This window comes from Homo sapiens, chromosome 3 (genome assembly GCF_000001405.40).
Source record: "Homo sapiens chromosome 3, GRCh38.p14 Primary Assembly".
Taxonomy (NCBI): Eukaryota; Metazoa; Chordata; class Mammalia; order Primates; family Hominidae; genus Homo; species Homo sapiens.
Window position 1 is genome coordinate 47,315,642 of NC_000003.12, and position 23,402 is coordinate 47,339,043.

At 45.7% G+C, this 23,402-nt stretch overlaps 1 protein-coding gene across 8 annotated transcripts in view, besides 1 other annotated feature; it reads left to right on the forward strand.

Annotated features, from left to right (window-relative positions):
* Positions 1-23,402, forward strand: part of KLHL18 (kelch like family member 18) — a 63,873-nt gene that overhangs the window by 32,698 nt on the left and 7,773 nt on the right. For 5 of the 8 annotated variants that reach the window (XM_005265001.4, XM_005265002.6, XM_047447818.1 and 2 more), the window contains exons 2-7: positions 4,012-4,142; positions 6,927-7,067; positions 14,310-14,508; positions 17,516-17,676; positions 19,042-19,178; positions 20,879-21,116. In XM_005265001.4, coding sequence (XP_005265058.2) covers positions 4,012-4,142; positions 6,927-7,067; positions 14,310-14,508; positions 17,516-17,676; positions 19,042-19,178; positions 20,879-21,116 — 1,007 coding nt within the window. The remainder of the gene's footprint in view (positions 1-4,011; positions 4,143-6,926; positions 7,068-14,309; positions 14,509-17,515; positions 17,677-19,041; positions 19,179-20,878; positions 21,117-23,402) is intronic. The other 3 variants (XM_005265003.4, NM_025010.5, XM_017006033.2) reach the window with 2 other exon arrangements.
* Positions 8,078-8,372: a silencer, noted in NCBI's record as "tiled region #13740; HepG2 Repressive non-DNase unmatched - State 15:Elon, and K562 Repressive DNase matched - State 25:Art". NCBI's record gives its function as "represses a minimal TATA promoter and a strong SV40 promoter by Sharpr-MPRA in HepG2 and K562 cells {active_cell/tissue: HepG2 | K562}" and the evidence as "EXISTENCE:reporter gene assay evidence [ECO:0000049][PMID:27701403]".

The following is a 23,402-nucleotide window of genomic DNA, read 5'->3' on the forward strand; positions in this document are numbered from 1 at the left end:
GCCTGATCACCCTAATGTGAAGCCCACAAATCAACAAGCCTACCCCCTAGCCAAGTGTCACCAGACATTTAAAGAAAACCTCTAACATAGAAGACAGAGATCAAAACAATTGGAAGAGAAAATATCTCAGGAAACAGTAAAAGCAGAGAGATAAAGAAGAAAAAAAGTTGTAACTATATACTGTCTCAGGAGAGATTTGAGAAAATATTGCATTCATGAAAGATGAACAGGATTCTTTTAAAAAGGAAGCTTTTGAAAACAAGAACTCTAGGAAATTAAAAATATGATAGCCAGTATAAAAACCTACAACACAGAAAGATTGTAAGATAGGGTTGAAGAAGTTTCCTCACTGATAGACCAAATGAAAGAGATGGAAAGTGAGGAAGAACAATAAGAAAATTAGAGGATTATTCCAAGAAATCTAACACCTGACTAATAGAAATTTCTGAGGAGAAAAAATTACAATAGGAGGGAGGAAATTATCAAGGATTAAATGGTGTAAAGAGATTTTTCCAGAACTGAAATAATGTCTGTAGATTGATACAGCACAATAAAAGAAAACCAATACCAAGATACAATACTGTGAAATTTTAGAACTACAAGAATACAGAGAAAATCCTAAAGGCTTCTAGAGAGCACAGTTACATACTTAGAGTTAGGATTCAAAATAGCATTGGATTTCTCAATAACAACAAACTAGGCCAGGTGTGGTGACTCACGCCTGTAATCCCAGCTCTTTGAGAGGCTGAGGTGGGAGGATTGCTTGAAGCCAGGAGTTTGAGAACAGCCTGAGCAACAAAGCAGGACCTGTCTGTACAAATATATATATATGTATATATATACATATATACATATATATGTATATATATACATATATACATATATATGTATATATATACATATATACATATATACATATATATGTATATGTGTGTATATATATACATATATACGTATATATGTATATGTGTGTATATATACATATATACGTATATATGTATATGTGTGTGTATATATACATATATACGTATATATGTATATGTGTGTGTATATATACATATATACGTATATATGTATATGTGTGTGTATATATACATATATACGTATATATGTATATGTGTGTGTATATATACATATATACATATATATGTGTGTATATATATACATATATATATTTTTAAACATAGCCAGGTGCACACTAGCATGCCTATAGTCTCAACTACTCAGGAGACTGAGGCAGGAGGATTGCTTGAGCTCAGGAATTCAAGTCCAGCCTGGGGGACAGAGTAAGACCCCATCTCTAAAAACAAAAGAACTAGAAGACAATGGAGCAATACTTTCAAAATTTTGACAGGAAAAAAGTCTAAACTTTGAATTTTTTAACCAACTAAATTATTATCTAAGCTTGAGGGTAGTAAAGACATTTTCAGACATTGTACATAGACCCCTTCTTATGAGGCTCTACTAGAAGACACATTTTTATTTGTTTGAGATGGAATCTCGTTCTTCTTGCCCAGGCTGAGTGCAGTGGTACGGTGTCTGCTCACCGCAACCTCCGCCTCCCAGGTTCAAGTGATTCTTCTGCCTCAGCACCTCGGGTAGCTGGAATTACAGGTGTCTGCCACCACGCTGGGCTAATTTTTTGCATTTTTAGTAGAGACGGGGTTTCACCATGTTGGCCAGGCTGGTCTCGAACCCCTGACCTCAGGTGATCCACCCGCCTCAGGCTCCCAAAGTGCTGAGATTACAGGTGTGAGCCACCATGCCCAGCCTAAAAGACACTTTCTACCAGAACAAGTGAATAAATAAGAAAGAGGACTACGTGGGGTTCAGGAAACGGGGGTGTTAGTATAGGTGAGGGAAACAGAATTCCCAGGAAGAGTTCCAGTAGATAATGTCTCAAGAAACAGACAACTTAAAACAAACAACTGATAGAGTACCTGACTGAATATATTAACCAGAGTTTTATGCTCTAGGGAAAAGAAAAATTATACAAAAAGGAAATATATACTGACAGTATACAGCATGGCTTGGCTACAAATAATATTTACATAGACTTAATGCAACTCTTCATATTAATTTAACCAAAATTTGACCTAATTATATTGGAAAGATAGGGAGAGTGTAGGGGATAGTACATGAAGAAAGGTATCAGGACAAATTCTTAATCTTCCATAATAGGAATTAGATTAGTAATATAATAGTTATCTTTTGCCGCATAACAAACTACCCCAAAATTTGTGACTTTTTTGTTTTTGAGACTCCATCCCAGGCAGGAGTGCAGTGGCACGATCTTGGCTCACTGCAGCCTCTGCCTCCCAGGTTCAAGCGACTCTCCTGCCCCAGTGACCCAAGTAGCTGGGATTACAGGCATGCGCCCACTAATTTTTGTATTTATTGTAGAGACAGGGTTTCATCATGTTGCCCAGGCTGCTCTCAAACTCCTGATCCACCCTCAAGCAATCCACCTTCCTTGGCCTCCCAAAGTGCTGGGATTACAGGCATGAGCCACCCTGCGTCCGGCCCAAAATTTAGTGACTTAAAACAAGTATTTATTATCTCACAGTTTCTGCTGGCCAGGAGTTCAGAAGCAGCTTAGACATTTCTCACAAAGTTGCTGTCATCTGAAGGCTTGGCTGGAGCTGGAGGATGCTCTTCCAAGCTCACTCAGGTAGCTGTAGAAGTCTTCAGTCTTCTTCATATGGGCCTCTCTTAAGGATATGTTATTTAGCTTCTCTTAGAGCAAGTGATCCAGAAGAAGAGGGTAAGAGGAATTTCAGTGCCTTTTATGACCTAGCTTTGAATGTGACATACCATCGTCACTTCTGCTATATTCTGTTGGTCACATAGACCAACCCTGACATGTTGTGGGAGGGGACTGCACAAGGGTGTAAATACCAAGAGTGAGCATTTACTGGGAGCTATTTAGAGGTTGGGTACCACAGGGAATAACTCAAAGTGAAAAGTCAACAAGTAATATGTAAGCACATATTATTTAGAAAGATGGAGAAAAGTCCTAGAAGCAAGAGGTTGCCCCTGGGAGTAGGAATCGCGGGCAAGGAATCAAGAAAACAGAGACTGCTAGTTGTTGTTTTTTCTTTTGTAATAAACCTCATAGAACAACTCTAAGAAATTTGAGCAGAGGCTGGGTGCGGTGGCTCACGCCTGTTTAATCCAATGATTCGATCTTCCAACCTCAATCCTTGGATAAATATGACACAAAGAGATGACCATCAGATAGTGAGATTCCCTGGCTTTTCACTAATGTGGAACCTGATAAAAAGGAAAAAAGGACTGTTTTGCTCTTCCTGGAGAATAGAAAGTTCTTAAGTGGAAATGTTTATATAGCTTGGAGCTATAAATGGCTTATTGAAGGGAAGAGCCTTTTGGCAGATAGTTGGAAAACACTTTATAGAATTCCTCAGGCTAAGGGTGTGTCAGTGAGGATTTGACACTCATTGGAGGAAGAGTTGGCCTCTGTCCCTGCTAGCCATACAGAGCAGCAGCCAGTCCACAACACCAGTGTATCTCCTCATGCCCCTGCCTCCGGCCCAGTCACTACATATTTACTCTTCTTGAGGAGCATACTGTTAGGAGCACCAGCATTCTTGGACCATTTGTCTAGTCCATCTGCCTGAGGTTGGGATAAAGTGTTACAGGAATCAGGTATTTGAGTTGGTGGAGTAGCTGAAAGGGGTGCATTGGAGACTACCATATAAGTAAAAACGATTACATGAAACCATTCAGGCTTAAATTTTTTAGCTGTTTTAACGCTTCATTAAAATGTATTGTTTACATTCTTCTACTGTAACTGAGTATATTGCATTTAAAATACTTCAGGGTCATCATGCTAAGCCTTGGCCTCCATGCCCTGGGATGCCTTCACCGCCTTTGCAGTGGGCAGTGGGGTATGCTGTGGAGCCGGGCGGAGGGGCAGGGTGGGTTTTTTTGTTTGTTTGTTTTTGTTTTGCATTCCTCAATATCTGTCTTTGTATTTTACTTTGCCCACAGATTGGGGACCACAAATTCAGTGCCCACCGGATTGTCTTAGCAGCCTCGATCCCGTATTTCCATGCTATGTTTACAAATGACATGATGGAGTGCAAGCAGGATGAGATTGTAATGCAAGGAATGGACCCAAGGTACTGAATCCCACCATTAGGTTTCGCAGGCTGCTTTCCAAGTGCAGTTTCAGCCTGTGCACGGTTCCGTTGAGGACCTGCAGCAGGACACAGTGTCTAATAGCCTAGCTCTACACAAATAATAAGTGATTAATAAGCAGATTAGAACCTGGGCCAGTGGTCTGAGATAGGGTTAAAATGAAGGGAGTTTTGATGGGGCTGTTTTTACCTTACTATAAGAGAAATACATTTAATAGGACCTAGACTCCATGATTTTTTTTTTTTTTTTTGACTGGGGCTGGGTTTAAGAGTGGTGGTATATTATTCTCTGCACTTTTCTGGGCTAGTCATTTTAGCTGACAAAACAGTTCTTCAAATAAGTGTCTTCATTTACATCCCTTCTTATCAGTCTAGAACAGTGTTGTCCACTGGAGGTTTCTGCAGTGATGCAAATGTTCTTTCTATTTGTATTGCCCAAAATGGTAGCCACTAGACACAGATGGCTATTGAGCACTCGAAATACGACTAGTGGGACTGAAGAACTGAATTTTAAATTTTGTTTAATTTTAATCAATTTAATTTTAAAGTTAAATAGTCACATGTGGCTAATGGCTACTATATTAGACAACACAGGTTTAGAAGGTGGCAGATCTTATGGTTATTTCATGGTTCAGAAAATTGAAGCTCAAGGAGATCAAGCCCAAGGTTATCCCCTTAGCTGGTAGTCAGTTATTGCCCAACCTCTTAATCTGACAGTGGTGACAACTAGGGGGAAAAGAGCTAGGAGACTGTGTGTTACCCTCTAGATGATCAAAGTGCCCCAATACCGGAAGAGGATTTATATACCCATGGCAAGGTAGAAATCTCAGGTCAGGCCAGGCAAGGTGGCTCACACCTGAAATCCAAACAATTTGGGAGGTCAAGGCGGGAGGATTGCTTGAGGCTAGGAGTTCAAGACCAGCCTGGACAACATAAACCACATCTTTATAAAAAAAAATTGTTTTTAATTAGCTGGGCATGGTGGTGCACACCTGTAGTCTCAGCTACTTAGAAAGCTGAGGTAGGAGGTGAGCCGAGGAAGTCAAGGCTGCCGCGAGCTGTGATCACACCACTACACTCCAGCCTGGGCAACAGAGTGAGACCTTGACTCTTGAAAAAGAAAGAAAGAAATCTTAGGCCAGTTACTTATGAGGAAAGACGTAGAAGTAAGGTGTCCAAGGGCAGTTGTGCCCTCCTATTCTCTGAGGTGTGTGTCTGAAGGAGGCATGCTCGTCCCATGAATAGTCCAGGGGCTTCATTTAACAGAGATTGCCTGAACATCCATGATGAGCACAGCTCTATCAAATATCTGAGGTATAGCAGTGAGAAAACAGCACCTCTTCTCATTCTGCCAACCTTTTTTTTGGGGGGAGTGGAGGGGGAGGCAATGGAGTCTCACTCTTGGCACCCAGGCTGGAGTGCAGTGGTGTGATCTGGGCTCACTGCAACCTCCACCTCCCAGGTTCAAGCAGTTCTACTGCCTCAGCCTCCCATGAGTAGCTAGGATTACAGGCACCTGCCGTTTTTTTTTTTTGTTTTGTTTTGTTTTGTTTTTTTTTTTTTGAGATGGAATCTCACTCTGTCGCCCAGGCTAGAATGCAATGACATGATCTCTGTTCACTGCAACAACCTCCGCCTCTTGGATTCAAGCGATTCTTCTCCCTCAGCCTCTCAAGTAGCTGGGACTACAGGCTCATGCCACCACGCCCGGCTAATTTTTGTATTTTTAGTAGACACAGGGTTTTGCCATGTTGGTTAGGCTGGTCTCGAGCTCCTGACCTCAGGTGATCCGCCCGCCTCGGCCTCTTAAAGTGCTGGGATTACAGGCGTGAGCCACTGCGCCCGGCTTCTGCCAGCTTTCTAGTAGTGATTTGGCAGTCACCAAATACATGCATGGTATGGCTAAGAGTGAAAGTGATATGAGAAAAGTAAAGCAGAGTAAAGGCTAGTGAAGGATGGTGGAGTCTGTGCTATTTTCAGGTGATCAGGGAAGGCACCTGTCATGGGGTGGCATTTGAGCTGAGACATCTTAATTGAAGTGAGGGAATGAGCCATCTGGGGGAAGAGCCCTCCAAACAGGGAGCAGTCATTGCAAAGGCCCTGAGGTAAGAATATGTCCAGAATGTTGGAATCAAGTAAGAAAGGGAGAAAGTGGAGGTGAGGAGGATAGATAGATGGAGAGGGACCAGAGCACATACAGCCTTATAGCTGGAATTTGGATTTCATTTTCAGTGTGAATTGAAAGCAGAAAAAATGTCAGAAATCTCATTCTAGAAATTTACCCCAAAGAAATAATTCAAAAACGTTCTAACAGCAATAAGATGGTAATGGCTATTATGCTTACCAATAAAGGAAATAAATGATAGCATATTTGCATGTTGAAATATTATATAGCAGCCACTAAAAACAATAAACATGAAGACAGTGTACCAACATGGGAAAGGCTTGATAAGTATTTTATGATTATATCCATATAATTCATGCATGTTGGCGATCAAGGACTAAAAATGAATGTAGAAAAATGACCGCTGTTGACTTTTTCAGTAGTGAAATTGTAGGTGATTGTGTTCTCTTTTTTAGAATTTTCTGTAGGGCAATGAAGACAACTTGGTAGAATGAGTTTTAGGCTGTGGTGAAGTAGTTACTCCATTAGATAGATTCTCAAAGGGCCTGGGCTAAGTAATGTCAGTTCAGTTAGGGCCTGAGTCTCCCGTGGGCCAAGACTCGTCTCTGAAAGCACCTCACAGCTTTCCCTCTTTCCTCTAGTGCCCTGGAGGCTCTGATCAACTTTGCCTACAACGGCAACCTTGCCATTGACCAGCAAAATGTCCAGTCATTGCTGATGGGGGCGAGCTTCCTGCAGCTGCAGAGCATCAAAGACGCCTGCTGCACATTCCTTCGAGAACGGTGAGGTGATGTGGTGGGCCTGGTGGAGAACATGACTATTTCATTTCTGGAATCTTCTGCCAGTTTGCTGAGTTCTTGGGACCATATATAGGTTTATGAAGGGAGTGAGCTGGAAAGGTTATTCTGCAGCACTTACATTTCTTGAAATCAGTTTGTAGCAGTGCCCACTTCTTTGAGATGAATTTTTTCAGAACATGATTTACATAGTCCAGCCTGCCCTTTCCCTTGGCTTGACATGTACATCTTCTGTTCCTCCCCCTCCGATCTCACCAGCCACTAATTTAGCTGATTTCTCACCAAACTGATTTGTGCAGTGCTCCTCTACTGTTCCATAGCCATCTCCATCTTTGTTTAGGTACTTTGCTCTCTGAATTTCTTTTCTTTTCTTTTTTTTTTTCAAGACAGGATCTTGCTCTGTCACCCAGGCTGGAGTGCAGTGGTATGATCTCGCCTCACTGCAACCTCTGCCTCCCATGTTCCAGCAATCCTCCCACCTCAGCCTCCCGAGTAGCTGGAACTACAGGCACGTGCCACCACACCTGGCTAATTTTTGTAATTTTTTTGGTAGAGATGTGGTTTTGCCATGTTGCCCAGGCTGGTCTCAAACTCTGCCCACCTTGGTCTCCCAAAGTGCTTGGATTACAGGCATAAGCCACTGCTCCCAGCCCTCTTTGAATTTCTTGACCTTCCTTTTCATACTTCAGTTATTTAAGAGCCTACCCAAATTTCACTTACTGGAATTCTCTATCCTCCTTAGTCCATTGGGAACTATCATTGTATGCACTTTTATGGTTGGGACCATGGATTATACCCCCACCTATTTCCAGTGCTTGGCAGTAGGCCTCGTGGGTCTCCTGTGACCTTCTGCCTGAGCAGTTAAGAAGGCTCTCCCTCCCCCTCAAGAGCCAGAGCTCTTAGTCATAAGGTAAAGGCCTTTTAACCAGCAGAGGCTTGGGGATGTGGGTTAGTGCTGGGCCACAGACAGGCAGGAGGACCCCAAACAGCACCCCTGTGTCTATGGTGCTTCACACACCCAGCCTTCACCTGAGCCTACTCTGATCACTAGGTATCTGGTCTGTCAGCATTCCTCCTGACTCAGATCTGCCCTCCGAACCTCATCCCCTCATGGAGCTGACCTCCCCTCCCCTATTCTCACTCCACCTATCCAGTTCAGTTAGCAGCTTATGGACCACACCCGCTGTCTGTTCATATCCTGCCCACACGGTGCTCATGGTCATCACACTGAGTACTGCTGTGTGTACAGCTAATCAAATAACCGTGGTAATGATGCCTAAGATTTAGTGGGGAGCTCATCTGCTGAACACTGGGTAAAGGGTTTCATCCTGAGGTAAGTGGTGCTGTTCGCAGTTTTATAAAGACCTTGTAGTAAGAGTAAAGCTGCGGAACCAACCTTGTCCCTGCTGTGGGATGCCTTCTGGGGCAGGCCAGAGGGTGCATATGGAGATGTGAGGAGCACACACTATCTTTCCTGCTCGTTTGTGAGCTTTTTAAGACACAGACTGGACTTAGTTCACCTCTTTTTCCCACAGAACTTGGAAAATGACTTCCTTTTTTCTTTTTCTTTCTTTCTTTTTTTTTTTTTTTTTTTTTTTTTTCTGTAAGGTAGAGCCCCAGGCTTGGAGGCCTTGGGCTTTACCACTGCTGAAATGACTCTGTGGCTAAGTAGGATTAATCCTGGAAAGGATTGTTGACGAGCCTCGAATCTTCACCAATGGACAACAGCTCCACCTAGGGGGCTTTTGAGATTGTCACTGTCAACACTGGATCCAGGCTATGTTGTAAAGTACTGTTATCTAAAAGTTGCTTAGAAAAGTGATTTTTAGGCCAGATGAGGTGGTTCATGCTGTAATCCCAGCATTTTGGGAGGCCAAGGCAGGAGGATTGCTTGAGGTTAGGATTTCCAGACCAGCCTGTATGGCAGAGCAAGACCCTGTCTCTACAAAAAAAAAATTTTTTTAATTAGTCAAGTGCAGTGGCTCACATCTATAGTCCCAGCTACTGGAGAGGCTAAGGTGGGAGAACTGCTTGAACCAGGAGCCCAAGGCTGCAGTGAGTTACAATCACCTTACTCCAGCTTGGGCAACTGAGCAAGACTCTGTCTCTAAAAACTAAAAAGAAAAAAGAAAAGTCATTTTTAGGCCAGTGCAGGTTTGCATGCACCAGTAGCATTTTAGGAATAAGTACTTACGCATAAACCTGATGTTTTGAGCCTATCTTTGACATTTTTTCATTCAGCCCTTCAGGACCCTTTCTGAGACCTAAACCTATACCTCTCCTGTTTCCTGCCACAGACTCCAGAGCCATGGCCTGCTTTCTGTTTTCTCACCAGTAGTTCCTATTATTGTCTCTGTTCCTTGGAATGATTCTCCCTGAGCCTCGCTACAGAATGTGATGGTGTCTCCCAGCTCCCCACTTCGTATGTGCCCTTGAAGGTGCATCATTTTCTTTTTTTTCTTTTTTTTTTTAAGGCGGAGCCTTGCTCTGTGAGACAGAGTGTCACTCTTGTTGCCCAGGCTGGAGTGCAGTGGCGCGATCTTGGCTCACTGCAAGCTCCGCCTCCTGTGTTCACGCCATTCTCTCGCCTCAGCCTCCCAAGTAGCTGGGACTACAGGCGCCTGCCACCACGCCTGGCTAATTTTTTGTACTTTTAGTAGAGACGGGGTTTCACCATGTTAGCCAGGATGGTCTCGATCTCCTGACCTTGTGATCCGCCCGCCTCAGCCTCCCAAAGTGCTGGGATTACAGGCGTGAGCCACCACGCCCAGCCGAGGGTGCATCATTTTCAAGATTTGATTGCCAGCGACTTGAGGAAAACCATTCTGAGCACCAGTGGAAAAGATATGTGACAGCACAGAGAAGCCACAATGCCATCAGAGTTCTTAAAGCCACAGTTCCTGAGGCTGCTCAGTCTATTACATCTTCAGCCCGCTGCTTTTTTTCCCCCTGAGGCTGGGGTTGACTTTTTCTGGTGGCCCTATTTCCGGCCTTCAAATGTATGGGCCTCCTTGCTTTTAGGCAAGCACTGGAGCTGTGTATTTTCTTGCTTTTTTTTTTTTTTGAGATGGAGTCTCACTCTGTCACCCAGGCTGGAGTGCAGTTTCGTGATCTCGGCTCACTGCCACCTCTGCCTCCCGAGCTCAAGCATTCTCCTGCCTCAGCCTCCGGAGTAGCAGGATTACAGGTGCCTGCCACCATGCCCGGCTAATTTTTGTATTTTTATTTATTTATTTATTTTTGAGACAGAGTCTTGCTCTGTCGCCCAGGCAGGAATGCAGTGGCATGATCTCAGCTCACTGCAACCACCACCTCCCAGGTTCAAGCGATTCTCCTGCCTCAGCCTCCGGAGCAGCTGGGGCTACAGGCGTGTGCCACCACACCCAGCTAATTTTTGTATTTTTAGTAGAGATGGGGTTTCACCATGTTGGCCAGGCTGGTCTTGATCTCCTGACCTCAAGTGATCTGCCCACCTCGGCCTCCCAAAGTGCTGAGATTACAGGTGTGAGTCACCACACCCAGCCTTGGAGCTGTGTATTTTCTGAAATTCTCTCAGAGGTAGATTGGTACACCAAATGCGTCAATGAACCACGTCAGTAACCTGTTTAATTCAAGTCACCGCTTCCTGCCTCTGATAAAGCATTATGTCTTATGCTGTCTTCTTGCTTCCAAAGTCAAGCTGTGTCAGCAAGGAAGAAGGTTGTGATGTGGCTAATGAAAGACGTGGGTCTCCATCAACCCTGTAGCTGTAGGTTTATTTTCCCTCATATCTCCCTCCTCCTCTTGCATGGGCCCCTTTCCTGTGTGGCCGCTCTCCTTCCTTTTCCCCCACTAATTGCCTCACAAACAGGCTCCCCACGTCCCCCATCCTCTTGGATGTAAAAGCCCAGTTCAGTTAAGAAGGTGTGTTTTGGCTGGGTACGTTGACTCACGCCTGTAATCCCAACACTCTGGGAGGCCGAGGCAGGGTGGATCACCTGAGGTCGGGAGTTCGAGACCAGCCTGGCCAACATAGTGAAACCCCATCTCTACTAAAAATACAAAAAACTTAGCTGGCTATGGTTGCAGGCACCTGTAATCCCAGCTACTCGGGAGGGTGAGGCAGGAGAATCGCTTGAACCTGGGAAGTGGAGGTTGCGGTGAGCCGAGATCGTGCCATTGCACTCCAGCCTGGGCAACAAGAGCGAAGCTACATCTCAAAAAAAAAGAAAAAAAAAAAGGAAGGTGTGTTTTGGCCGGGCGTGGTGGCTCACGCTTGTTATCCTGGCACTTTTGGAGGCCGAGGCAGGCAGATCGCCTGAGGTCAGTAGTTGGAGACCAGCCTGGCCAACATGGTGAAATGCCATCTCTACTAAAAATACAAAAATGAGCCGGCCGTGGTGGCGCACGCCTGTAATCCCAGCTACTTGGGAGGCTGAGCCAGGAGAATCACTTGAACCCAGGAGGCAGAGGTTGCAGTGAGCTGAGATCATGCCGCTGCACTCTAGCCTCGGCAACACCAGGAGACTCCGTCTCAAAAAAAACAAAAGGGAAAAAAAAAGGTGTGTTTTGTGCTCAGTATTATGCCAAGCTAATCAAAGACACCCAAAAATAAGGTACGAGAATCCTAACCTGAGAAGGAGAGTTTGGAAATGAATGCCAATGGCTACGTTGATCATTGGCTCCCATATCCTTGGACTTGATCCAGCTTCTGCCCCGTGGCATTTTGAATCCTCCTCTCAGGTTGATGTCAAAGTGTTAGGAAATAGTGAAGCACATGCTGTAGAGGCCCAGGGAAGGTTTATCTTTATATCTGCCTTATATTTGTAAAGTGCTTTAACAAGTCTCATTCAATCACTATAAGTGCTTTAGGAGAAAGGCATTTGACAGATGACTGAGCTGACATTCTGACCTTCAGCGCTGTATTCCTCAGTGGCCATGAACTTTGCCTACATCTTGCTCTCTGCTTATGTTTCTGTGCTCTTCTAAATTCACATCAGTTTCCAAAGCAATGGACAGAGCAAGCTCAGGCTGGAATGAAATAACTATGTAGAATTTTGACTAGTCATAAAGCCAGGCTCCAAGGTACCTTGCCCATTCATTCAGTCCTTGATGGGTCAACTGCTAGGGGACAATAGTGAATATTGCTAAATAAATATAACCCTGTGCCTAAAACCTTAACGTCGGGGAAAAGACATAAACCTTTCTAATGAAGAAAAGCATGCCCGGCCAATTTTTAATCTGATCAATACCATCCCTACAGAGAATCAGTCATGGAGCCAAATAAGAATCCCCCAGGGTCTGCTGCTGTCACCAAGATTTTAGAATCGCACTGGGCTCGTTTGGAATTTTCTTAGATGCAACAGTAGTAAGAAAAACAAGCTGGGCACAGTGGCTCATGCCTGTAATCCCAGCACTTTGGGAGGCCAAGGCAGGAGGATTGCTCGAGCCTAGGAGTTTGAGACCAGTCTGGGCAACATAGGGAGATGCTTTCTCTACCAAAAAACACTTTTTTTTTTTTTTTTTAATTAGCTAGGTGTGTGGTTTCAGCTACTTGGCAGGTTGAGGTAGGAGGATCACTTGAGCTCAAGAGGTCAAGGCTATCATGAGCCATAATTGCACCACTACACTACAGCCTAGGTGACAGAATAAGACCTTGTCTCAAAAAACAAAAACAACCATAATAAAAAATTAAGACAGCCATTAACTTCATACCAGGTACCATGTATCATGGCTCAGCCCTAAGAGGTGGGTAGCTGTTGTCATCATCTTCTTTCAGGTGAGCAAATTACTGACACTTGGAAGAACATAACCCACCCAAGTTGCCCCATGAGCATCAGGGCCAGGATTTATCCTGGGTTTCTCTAGCCCTGATGAGTGTAAGTCTGCCAGGCTACCGTGGGAATGTGCACAAGAGTCCTGATTTCAATCTCAGCACCACCACTTGCTTATCTCAAGGGACTGTGAGCACCATTTTTGGTTTCCCTGAGCCTGTTTTCCATCTGTGAGTGCGTTACTACTTTACAGGTTAAGAAGATTCTGGAGAATGTGTATAAAAGGCCTAGCAAAACACTTGACTCACTGATGGTAAATAAATGATAGCTGCTGCTGTTGTTTCTGCTTGTCTGAACAATTAGGCCCGTGGAGTCTCTTTCTATCTAAAACAAGAAAAAATCTCAGCATTTTGGGAGGCCGAGGCAGGTGGGTTGCTGGAGTTCAGGAGTTCAAACCTGCCTGGACAACATGGTGAATCCCTGTCTCTACCACAAAAAGTACAAAAATTAGCCAGGCATGGTGGCACCTGTAGTCCCAGCTACTTGCAGGGCTGAGGCAGGAGGATCGCTTGAGCCCAGGAAGTCAAGGGTGATGTGAGCCGTGTTCACGCTACTGCACTCCAGCCTGGGGGACAAAGTGAGACCCTGTCTCAAAAAAGAAAAAAAAGGAAAAAAAAAGACAAGTATAAGAGTTCCCATACTAAAGAAGCCATCTGTCCGTGTTGTGTTTTTTTTGTTGTTGTTTTGTTTGTTTTTTGTTTTTTGTTTTGAGACGGAGTCTTGCTCTGTCGCCCAGGCTGGAGTGCAGTGGCGCAGTCTCGGCTCACTGCAAGCTCCGCCTCCTGGGTTCACAGCATTCTCCTGCCTCAGCCTCCCAAGTAGCTGGGACTACAGGCGCCCGCCACCACACCCGGCTAATTTTTTGTATTTTTAGTAGAGACGGGGTTTCACCGTGTCAGCCAGGATGGTCTTGATCTCGTGACCTCGTGATCTGCCTGCCTCAGCCTCCCAAAGTGCTGGGATTACAGGCGTGAGCCACCGTGTCCAGCCCTGTCTGTGTTTTTTAAACTCTAATTCTGTGACTTCAGTGCCTTCCTTGTGACCAAAGTTGAGATAATGCCCTGGACACTCAACCAGGAATTTCAGTGGTGGAACGTCTCAAACAGATTTTCAGTGCCTGCACTCCTGTGATGGTTACTTCTCACCTTCTGACAGTTACTTTACAGAACTACCCAGAGAGCTCATTCCACCTGACGCACAGAGCACCAGGCCCAAAAGGCAGGGACCTTTGAGGATAATCTTTCTTCTTAATTTTATACCTTTAGAAGTTGAGTCCCAGAGAAATACAGTTTCCAACAAAGCTGAGGTTAAGAATTTGTTTTCATTCTGTGGCTCTACCCAGAACCAGCCTGAGAATGATCAAAGATAACATCCTTTCTTCCTCTAATTTTTTTTTTCTTTCCTTATGCCAAAGGCTTCACCCAAAAAACTGCCTGGGTGTGCGCCAGTTTGCTGAGACAATGATGTGTGCTGTGCTGTACGACGCTGCCAACAGCTTCATCCACCAGCACTTTGTGGAGGTGTCCATGTCAGAAGAGTTCCTGGCCCTGCCCTTGGAAGACGTGCTTGAGCTGGTGTCTCGGGATGAGCTGAATGTCAAATCTGAGGAGCAGGTATGTGAGCCCAGTAGCAGTCTGTGCAGGTGACATGAGATGCTGCTCTTTATAGTCATTGTTTTGTTTATGTATTTTTTTACAAAGTTAAGATCATGACATGTATGTGGCTGTTGTATATTATTGGGCTTGTTTTACTGTATCATGCATTTTTCATGAAAACTTTCTATGTTTTATTTATTTTTTTGAGATAATATCTTGCTCTGTCACCTAGGCTGGAGTGCAGTAGCAAGATCATAGCTTACTGCAGCCTCATCCTCCCACATCAGCCTCCCGAGTAGCTGGAACTACAGGCACATACCACCACACCCAGCTAGTTTTTGTATTTTTTGTAGAGACCGGGTTTCACCATGTTGCCCAGGCTAGTCTTGAACTACTGTCCTTAAGTGAGTTCAGCCTCCCAAAGTGCTGGGATTATAGGCGTGAGCCACCGCACCTGGCCTCCATACATTTTAGTGTCTAAATAGCATTCTGTTGATTTTTGTCAACCTACTCACCTTATTCTTGCATGTTTGGGTTATTTCCAATATTTACTATTAGAAATAATCCTCCTGTGAACCAGAAACAGCAAGCATAGATAATTTTTTTGTTGTTTTTTTGAGTCAGAGTCTCATTCTGTCACCCAAGCTGGAGTGCAGTGGTGCGATCTTGGCTCACTGCAACCTCCATCTCCCAGGTTCAAGCAATTCTCCCGCATCAACCTCCTTGAGTAGCTGGGATTACAGGCATGCACCACCATGCCAGGCTAATTTTTATACTTTCAGTAGAGACGGGGTTTCACCATGTTGGCGAGGCTGGTCTCGAATTCCTGACCTCAAGTGACCCGCCCATCTTGGCCTCCCAAAGTGCTGGGTTTACAGGCGTGAGCCACTGTGCCCGGCCTAGTATAGATAACTTTTTGAAAGAATCTTGTTCTAAGGAAGAACAGAACATTGGGGCAGCTGTGGGAGGGGTCTGTGAAATCAAGAGGGGTTGTTGTTTGTTTGTTTTTGAGAAAGAATCTTGCTCCAACGCCCAGGCAGGCTGGAGTGCAGTGGCAACAATCTCAGCTCACTGCACCTCTGCCTCCCGGGTTCAAGCAATTCTCCTGCTTCAGCCTCCCAAGTAGCTGGGATTACAGGTGCCCGCTACCATGCCTGGCTAATTTTTATATTTTTAGTAGAGATGGGGTTTCACCACGTTGGCCAGGCTGGTCTTGAACTCTGGCCTCACATGATCCTCTCACCTTGGCCTCCCAAAGTGCTGGGATTATAAGCATGAGCCATCATGCCAGGCCTTTTTTTTTTTTTTTTTTTTTTTGTGAGACAGAGTCTCACTCTGTCACCCAGGCTGGAGTGCGATGGCACAATCTCAGCTCACTGCAGCCTCAGCCTCCCAGGTTCAAGCATTTCTCCTGCCTCAGCTTCCCAAGTAGCTGGGATTACAGGTGTGCGCCATCATGCCTGGCTAACTTTTGTATTTTTAGTAGAGACGGGGTTTCACTATGTTGGCCAGGCTGTTCTCGAACTCCTGACCTCAGATGATCTGCCCACCTCGGCCTCCCAAAGTGCTGGGATTACAGGCGTGAGCCACTGCGCCAGGCCCGACCTTTTTTTTTTTTTTTTAAAGTGAGAGAAATTACAGCATATTTGACTGCTGTTGGGAGTTTTCCAGAAGAGAGGGAAGAATTGATAATATTGGAGAAATGGGAGAGCAGTTGTTGGAATGATGTTCTGGAATAAGTGAGGACAGTCTAGGGCATAAGGGTGTGCATCTTTGATAGGAGCACAAGCCATCCATATCCACAGTAGCAGGAGGGAGAGCTGGGGCACACGCCCAGGGACGGGGGACAGGTAGATTCTTACTGAAATTCTCTTCTGATTTTCTATTTTCTCACCTGAGAGTGAGGATGAGGGACGAAGGTTAGAAACTTAAGGAAGGCCGGGAGCAGTGGCTCACGCCTGTAATCCCAGCACTTTGGGAGGCCAAGGTGGGCAGATTTGTTGAGCTCAGGAGTTTGAGACCAGCCTGGGCAACATGGCAAAACCCCATCTCTACTAAAAGCACAGAAGTTAGCCAGGCCTGGTCCAGCTTAAACTCCTGGCCTGTAATCCCAGCTACTTGGGCTGAGGTGGGAGGATTGCTTGAGCTGGGAGGCAGAGGTTGAGGTGAGCTGAGATTGCGCCACTGCACTCCAGCCTGGGCGATGGGGCAAGACCCTATCTCCAAAAAAAAAGAAAGAAAGAAAGAAAAGAAAAAAGAAATTTGAGGAGGGATTAAAAGGTATGATTTATTTTCCTCTTTCCTCTAGAAAAGGGGGATGCTAGAGAGGTGAAGCGGGCTTGATAGGAGCCTGGGAGAAAAGTGGATCCTGGGCTTGGCAGCATAGACACTGTGGTTTCGAGGAAAAAGCCTCATTCCAAAAACTAGGTGTCCTGTCCCTAGCTCTTAAACTAATTAATATGACGGGGGGCGGGGGGGCAGCTCACATTTCTTTGAGTGATACATTTCATAAGGGCTGTAGGGCTTTAGAGGGAGAGGTCCTTGTGGTTGGAGCCATTAAGAAAGGCTCCTTGGAGAACATGGATCTAGAGCCAGGCCTTAAAAATAGGGGAGTGGGTTTAGATGAAGAGGAGGAGATGAGGGCATTTTAGATGAGGGGGGACAGTGTAAACAGGAGAACCAGCCCAGCCTTGCCGGAGTACAGAGAGGGTGATGGAGGGAGTTTAGAGGGAGCAGGGGTACAGGAGCAGCGGGAAGGGAAACAGGCATTTTGTTTTCACAGAAAGTAATAAGATGCCATTGATGATTTTTCACTAGGAAATCATAATCATAATGAAATTCAGGAAGCTGTTCTAGTAGCCTAGGAAGTAGAGAGAAATCAGGGATTTCAGAGACAAGTAGGAGAAAAGATTGATGGGCCCAAGGGACTGCTTCAGTATAGGAAGTGGAGGCATTGAGATTGGAGGCCTGGGGTGTGGCCTCTGGGTGGGAGGATTTGCTGCCAGAACATCCACTCTCATGACAGGTCTTTGAAGCTGCATTGGCCTGGGTCAGATACGACCGGGAGCAGAGGGGTCCCTACCTGCCTGAGCTGCTGTCCAATATCCGCCTGCCCCTCTGTCGGCCCCAGTTCCTTTCAGACAGAGTACAGCAGGATGACCTGGTGCGTTGCTGCCACAAATGCAGGTGAGTGAGGGTGGACCTGCACAGGACACTGCCAAAGGTCTAAGCAGGGAAGAGGAGTTGGCCACCTGTTCCAGTTCTGGAAAGAAAGCATTTAGAGTGATCAGTCTAATTCATGGCACACAGATTGGTCTGCCCTCTGTCTAGAAGCTGGAACAGGAAGTGTGAAGAGCCCGAATCTTATGCCTTGGGCAGAGAGATGTGCCATGTGGGAGCATCAAAGCAGAAAGGGCTTTCCCCTGCTGAGTTATCTGAGGATTTTCCAGCATCTTTCCCCACTGAGCTATTTATGAATGTGCAACCATCTTTACTGCCTGCTCTGACCCTGTCCACACCAGCAGCTCACTCAGTGGCGCAAATGGGACTTCCTGGGGCTCATTGCCCTCTTCAGTAAATATTAGTCAGTGCTGTGGGCATGGAGGGCCTCTGCCAGGTGTAGGCTTTACATCTACGATGATGGGCAAGGGGCAGACATGTTTACCAACACATGAAACTTTTACCCAGAGCAAATCAATGACAACATGGTACAGCAGAGTTACCCAAACAGTTCAGAAGATGGCAGCCCTATAGGATGATTGCTGTAAAAGTAGAACAGCAGAGAAAAATGTTCATTCTCCTCCAGATTGCTTATCAAATTCACAACCCTGAAATATTTTTTTCTCCTTTGCTGATAAAAACTTTACACACATTCAGCTTTCTTTCATTTTCCAACTCCTGGTTGGGATCAGCTGGTTCAGGAGGAAGTAAGTGCCTGTCCATGGCAGATGGTGTGAAGGTGTGTGTCAGGATGGGGTGGAGTAGTGTCTGGAGGTAGCTAGGGCCCAGTGACCAGCGGTCTCAAGGGTGCTGTTGAGGAGTTTGGACTTTATTCTGTCGGCAGTGGGTGGCTATTGAAGGTTCTTAGCTTGAACTCTAGTGTGGAAGTGGAATGGAGGGGCAGGCCTGAGGCAGGGAAATGTGTCAGGAGCTGCCACCGTGGAGATGAGTGGTGATTAATTGCAGGTTGCAAGCCACGGTGCAGTCGTAGGGATGGAAAGGAAGGGCTAGGTCTGAGTGGCAACAGGGTGCATGCTGCTTGTCGAAACTCCCAGGTCCAGCCATTTTGGCCACTACCTTGTTTTTCTCATGCCTAATCTACACTAGCTGAGGTGGTCTTTGCTTGTCTTGCCCCTTTAATTTTGAGTATATCTCAGTAGCCATGTATGATTTTCCCAGAACTCACCTGGTTTCTTTGAGACCAGACCTTCCAGAAGGCTTCTCCTCCCAGGTTTCCCCTGCAGTTGGCAGTGGAGAGCCAGGCTCAGAGATGCAAACGAGGACTAAGTCAGGGGGATACCTCCTGTTCTAGCATCTTCCACCTTATTCTAGGGACCTGGTAGACGAAGCAAAGGACTACCACCTCATGCCAGAGCGCCGGCCCCACCTGCCAGCTTTCAGAACCCGGCCACGCTGCTGCACATCCATCGCTGGACTTATCTACGCTGTAGGGGGCCTCAACTCAGCAGGTACCTTGCGGCTCCCCTTTATAGACCCTCCTCTTGGACTCCATGGATGAGGAAGCACCAGACAAATTAGCCTGGCCCTTCTGGTTTCTCTGTTTTGTACTGTCACCACCCTTGCCCCTCTTGATTTTATACAATTGCTCTACAGTTAGAGCATGTCACATATTCATGCCATTGAATCAGAATATCAGTGCTAAAGAGACCTTCTAGAAATCTTTGAGGCCTAGCCTTCTTACCTGACAAGTGAGGAAATTGAGCCCCACAGAACTTTCACTATGTTCATACAATTGTTTTTGGCAGAGCAAGGACTAGAACTTGGGTGTTCTGATTCCTGAGCCAGCACTTTTGCCCTAATATCACATTGGCTATGGTATAGCATCCTTCAGCCCCGGATAGGATACAGTCAGAGACCCAGTTCCATACCAGGCTATTCACATTTTGTCATATGGATCTCTGGGGTTAGACTGAGAAAGTCCCCAAGAGAAAGATTATCCAAATACACAGGGTCTACCACTGTCAATAATACTTTTTACTCTTCAGCCCCACCCCCTGTGAAACACACACATGCTTTACAGTCCGTGGGTTATTGGCAGTTTTTGAATCTAAGAGTAAGGTTTTCAGAAAGCTGCATGGCCTCCCAACTTGGGGGCAGTTGGTGGGCACTCCCAGGCAGTTTTGTTTTTATTTTTTATTGTTTTTAATTTTTTTGAGATGGAGTGTCACTCTTGTCACTCAGGCTGGAGTGCAGTGGCGCAATCTCAGCTCACTGCAACCTCTGCCTCCCGGGTTCAAGCAATTCTCCCGCCTTAGCCTCCTGAGTAGCTGAGACTACAAGCTCATGCTACCACGCCCAGCTAATTTTTCTATTTTTAGTAGAGATGGGGTTTCACCATGTTGGCCAGGCTGGTTTTGAGTTCCTGACCTCAAGTGATCTGCCCACCTTGGCCTCCCAAAGTGCTGGGATTACAGGTGTGAGCCACCGCACCTGGCCCAGTTTTGTTTTTAATTGAAGGTTAATGAGAGTTGGGTACTAGCTGCTGCTTGTTAATCAGAGGGCCTGGAACAGGTAAATCCTCAACTCAGTGCACGCTGGAGCGGCGTGCAAATGAAATGCTAAGTGCCCCATAGCAGCATACCACAGGAAGAGGGGGTTATTTTGTTTGATCATCACAAAAACCTGATGAAAAAGGTAGGGCTGGAATGATCATTCCTTGCTACTATGACTATTTATTGAGCGCAAAGTTTATTCTAGAACCATGCTAGGTGCTTTACCTGTTATATCATTTAATCCATAAAGATTATCTCCATTTCACATGTGAAGCAGAGGGTGGGGACACAAAGCCCCTTGCCTTGGGTCACCCCCTAGCAAATGAAAGCACTGGAGCGCATGCCCGTCCCTCTGGCATGCCTCCTGCCTGGAGGAAATATTGTATCGATTCACCTATACCTTTGGCTTTAAGCAGGTGGAGTACCTGATTGTAACTGAAAACTACCCTCTCTAAAAAATAAATACCTCCTGTCTGATTCTGATTTTCCTTAAAGAATTAGGTTTGAGGTGATCATGGCTGAAATTTCTTAGTGGGCCCTTGTGCCTTGAGTAATTCTGTGGGAAGAGCTAATAGAATTGAGTCGAATGTTCCATATAATCAATGCCCAATAGCTGTGCTCTAAACAAGTGGTCTCATTTGTTTTAATTTGAGTAGCAAATTTTTATGCAGGTGATTCCCTGAATGTGGTGGAAGTGTTCGACCCCATTGCCAATTGCTGGGAGAGATGCCGTCCCATGACAACAGCCCGCAGCCGCGTTGGCGTGGCTGTGGTGAACGGGCTTCTCTATGCCATCGGAGGATATGACGGCCAGCTACGGCTGAGCACTGTGGAGGCCTACAACCCGGAGACAGACACATGGACCAGAGTGGGGAGCATGAATAGCAAGAGAAGGTATTCTGGAAGCCACGTGCAGCCCGAACATACACACTGAGCACCTGGGGAGCGCCATGCTAGACGAGCAGGGGCACACAGTAGAGTAAAATACAAGCTTTGGCCTGGGAGTTTCCTGCAGCCAGGCCAGCCACTGCCAGTACCTCCTGGGAGCGAGCCCCCATCTGCTTAAAAGTAAAATATCCACCTTGTCCTTTGGGGAACTTGGGGAGACCAGGCATGGACATGTGGAAGTTGTGTTGTTATTTTAAGTGCCAGATAAGGACTGGAAATGTGTATTATGGAAGATTCGAAGAGGGAGAGAAACTGGACTGGAACTTCTGGAAGATTTCAGGGAAGAGGTGGGATTAAAGTTGAAACTTGAAGAATAAGGAGGATTTACCTTTATTAGTGATAAAAGGAAATCCAAGGTGTTTTTCTGTGTACCTTCCTTCCCCAGGACTCCCCTCACACATGCACTTCCACTACCTGGGGAGAATACGAACCAAAGCAATGTTCTTTTATTTAGGTCACACACATTCTCCCAGACAGGAGCACATAGGTATTTGCAAGGTGGGCCAAGTTGATATGTCACTCAGTACATTCTAGCTACCTGCTCTCTCCACTTCTCTGCTTATATTGTCTGAATAAGAAGTGGGATTAGAAGACATCCCAGTGCCTTTGTTTAGCCCTTCTTACTGCTGAGGTGACAGGTGGCATGTTTCATTATGTCAGACACGTGATGGAGTCATCACATGTGTGGGCAGCTGAAAAGCTGGCGCAGCCCAAGGAGGGGAGAGGAAAGCTGCCCAGAGCCCCCTGGCCGTTACCCAGGACAGCTCTGCACTGATTGCTTTTACACATTGAGCTTCCTTGATATATGCCTAATGTTGTTCCACATCCAGCAGCGTTTGCATGTGGATGTGAGCTGGGAGGGATCTGCCTTTGTACTGGTGAGACCAGTTCACAAAGCATCGGAGTAGGTTCCTTTGGGAAGAAAAAAATACGTAAGATCTGCCCCTCCCAAGAACGCATTGAGAGTCCTTTCCTCCCACCATCCCCACTTTTGCTCCTTGGATACTTTGCAGCTTCCTATGTTTGAGTGACTCATTGCTCCGTGTCCCCAACCATGAGTAGCTTTTTTGCTTTGACTGCAGTCAGCTGTCCTTCCTTGTGTGTCTGCTCTGGACCACTTCCTTGCTTTGATGTTACTGGGTTTAGAGGGCTGTCTTGGAGGAAAGTTCTCTGGGTATTCCTTTCCTTCACTGTGGTTAATATCCTGTTATTAGTGTGGGCCCGGTTCCATTACATCCCTTTTAAATTACAGGCTACCTTAAAACGTTCCTAGTCACTTCTCTTCTGACATCCCACACAGCTGTCTGTTCTGCCAGTTAGTGACATCCTGCCATCTTTCCTTCCTATCTCCCCCAGTGTTCTACGCCATCCCATAGACCTTTCTTACACTGGACTATTCCAGTCCATGCTGATCAGCATTTTCTCCTTCTCTTCACACTCGCCTTTACCACCTAGTTGATAGTTAATCTCATGCAGTTTTGGGGCACCTCTTAATTCATTTTCATATTGTTCAACACCTGTTTTGTTATGTAATTTTTATGTTTGTTTTGTGTCCGTATCCAGAAGGATAGTGATCATGTCTAGTAAATTTGTGATCTTCCCACAATACTTGCCTAAGGCAAGTCCCTCTCCTCTTTCTGGCTGGTTCAGGGGGTCAGTTATCATGTCCCTGAAAGGGACATTCTGTGGATCAGTTTGATTACTATGTACATTTAAAAGGTAGCAGCAAGCCAGGTATGGTGGCTCACGCCTATAATCCCAGCACTTTGCGAGGCCAAGGAGGGCGGATCACCTAAGGTCACGAGTTTGAGACCAGCCTGGCCAACATGGTGAAACCCTGTCTTTACTAAAAATACAAAAATTAGCCAGGCATGGTGGCGGGCGCCTGTTATCCCAGCTACTTGGGAGGCTAAGGCAGGGAGAATTGCTTAAACCGGGGAGGCGGGGGTTGCAATGAGCTAAGATCGTGCCACTGCATTCCAGCCTGGTTGACAGAGTGAGACTCCGTCTCAAAAAAAAGAAAAGGTAGCATTAAGCCTGGTATGTTTTATTTTCCTGTTTGTTAGAAACCTAGATTCATTTTTAATCTTCACCAGCATCACATTTGAAAATAGTGAATTGGGCAGCTTGGCATTTGTGCTGAATTCCTTATAAGGCGTTGTGTAGGAGGGAAGATTACATGATTACACCACCAGACCCCTGGGTCTTTGATATTAGGAGAGCTTGGCATGT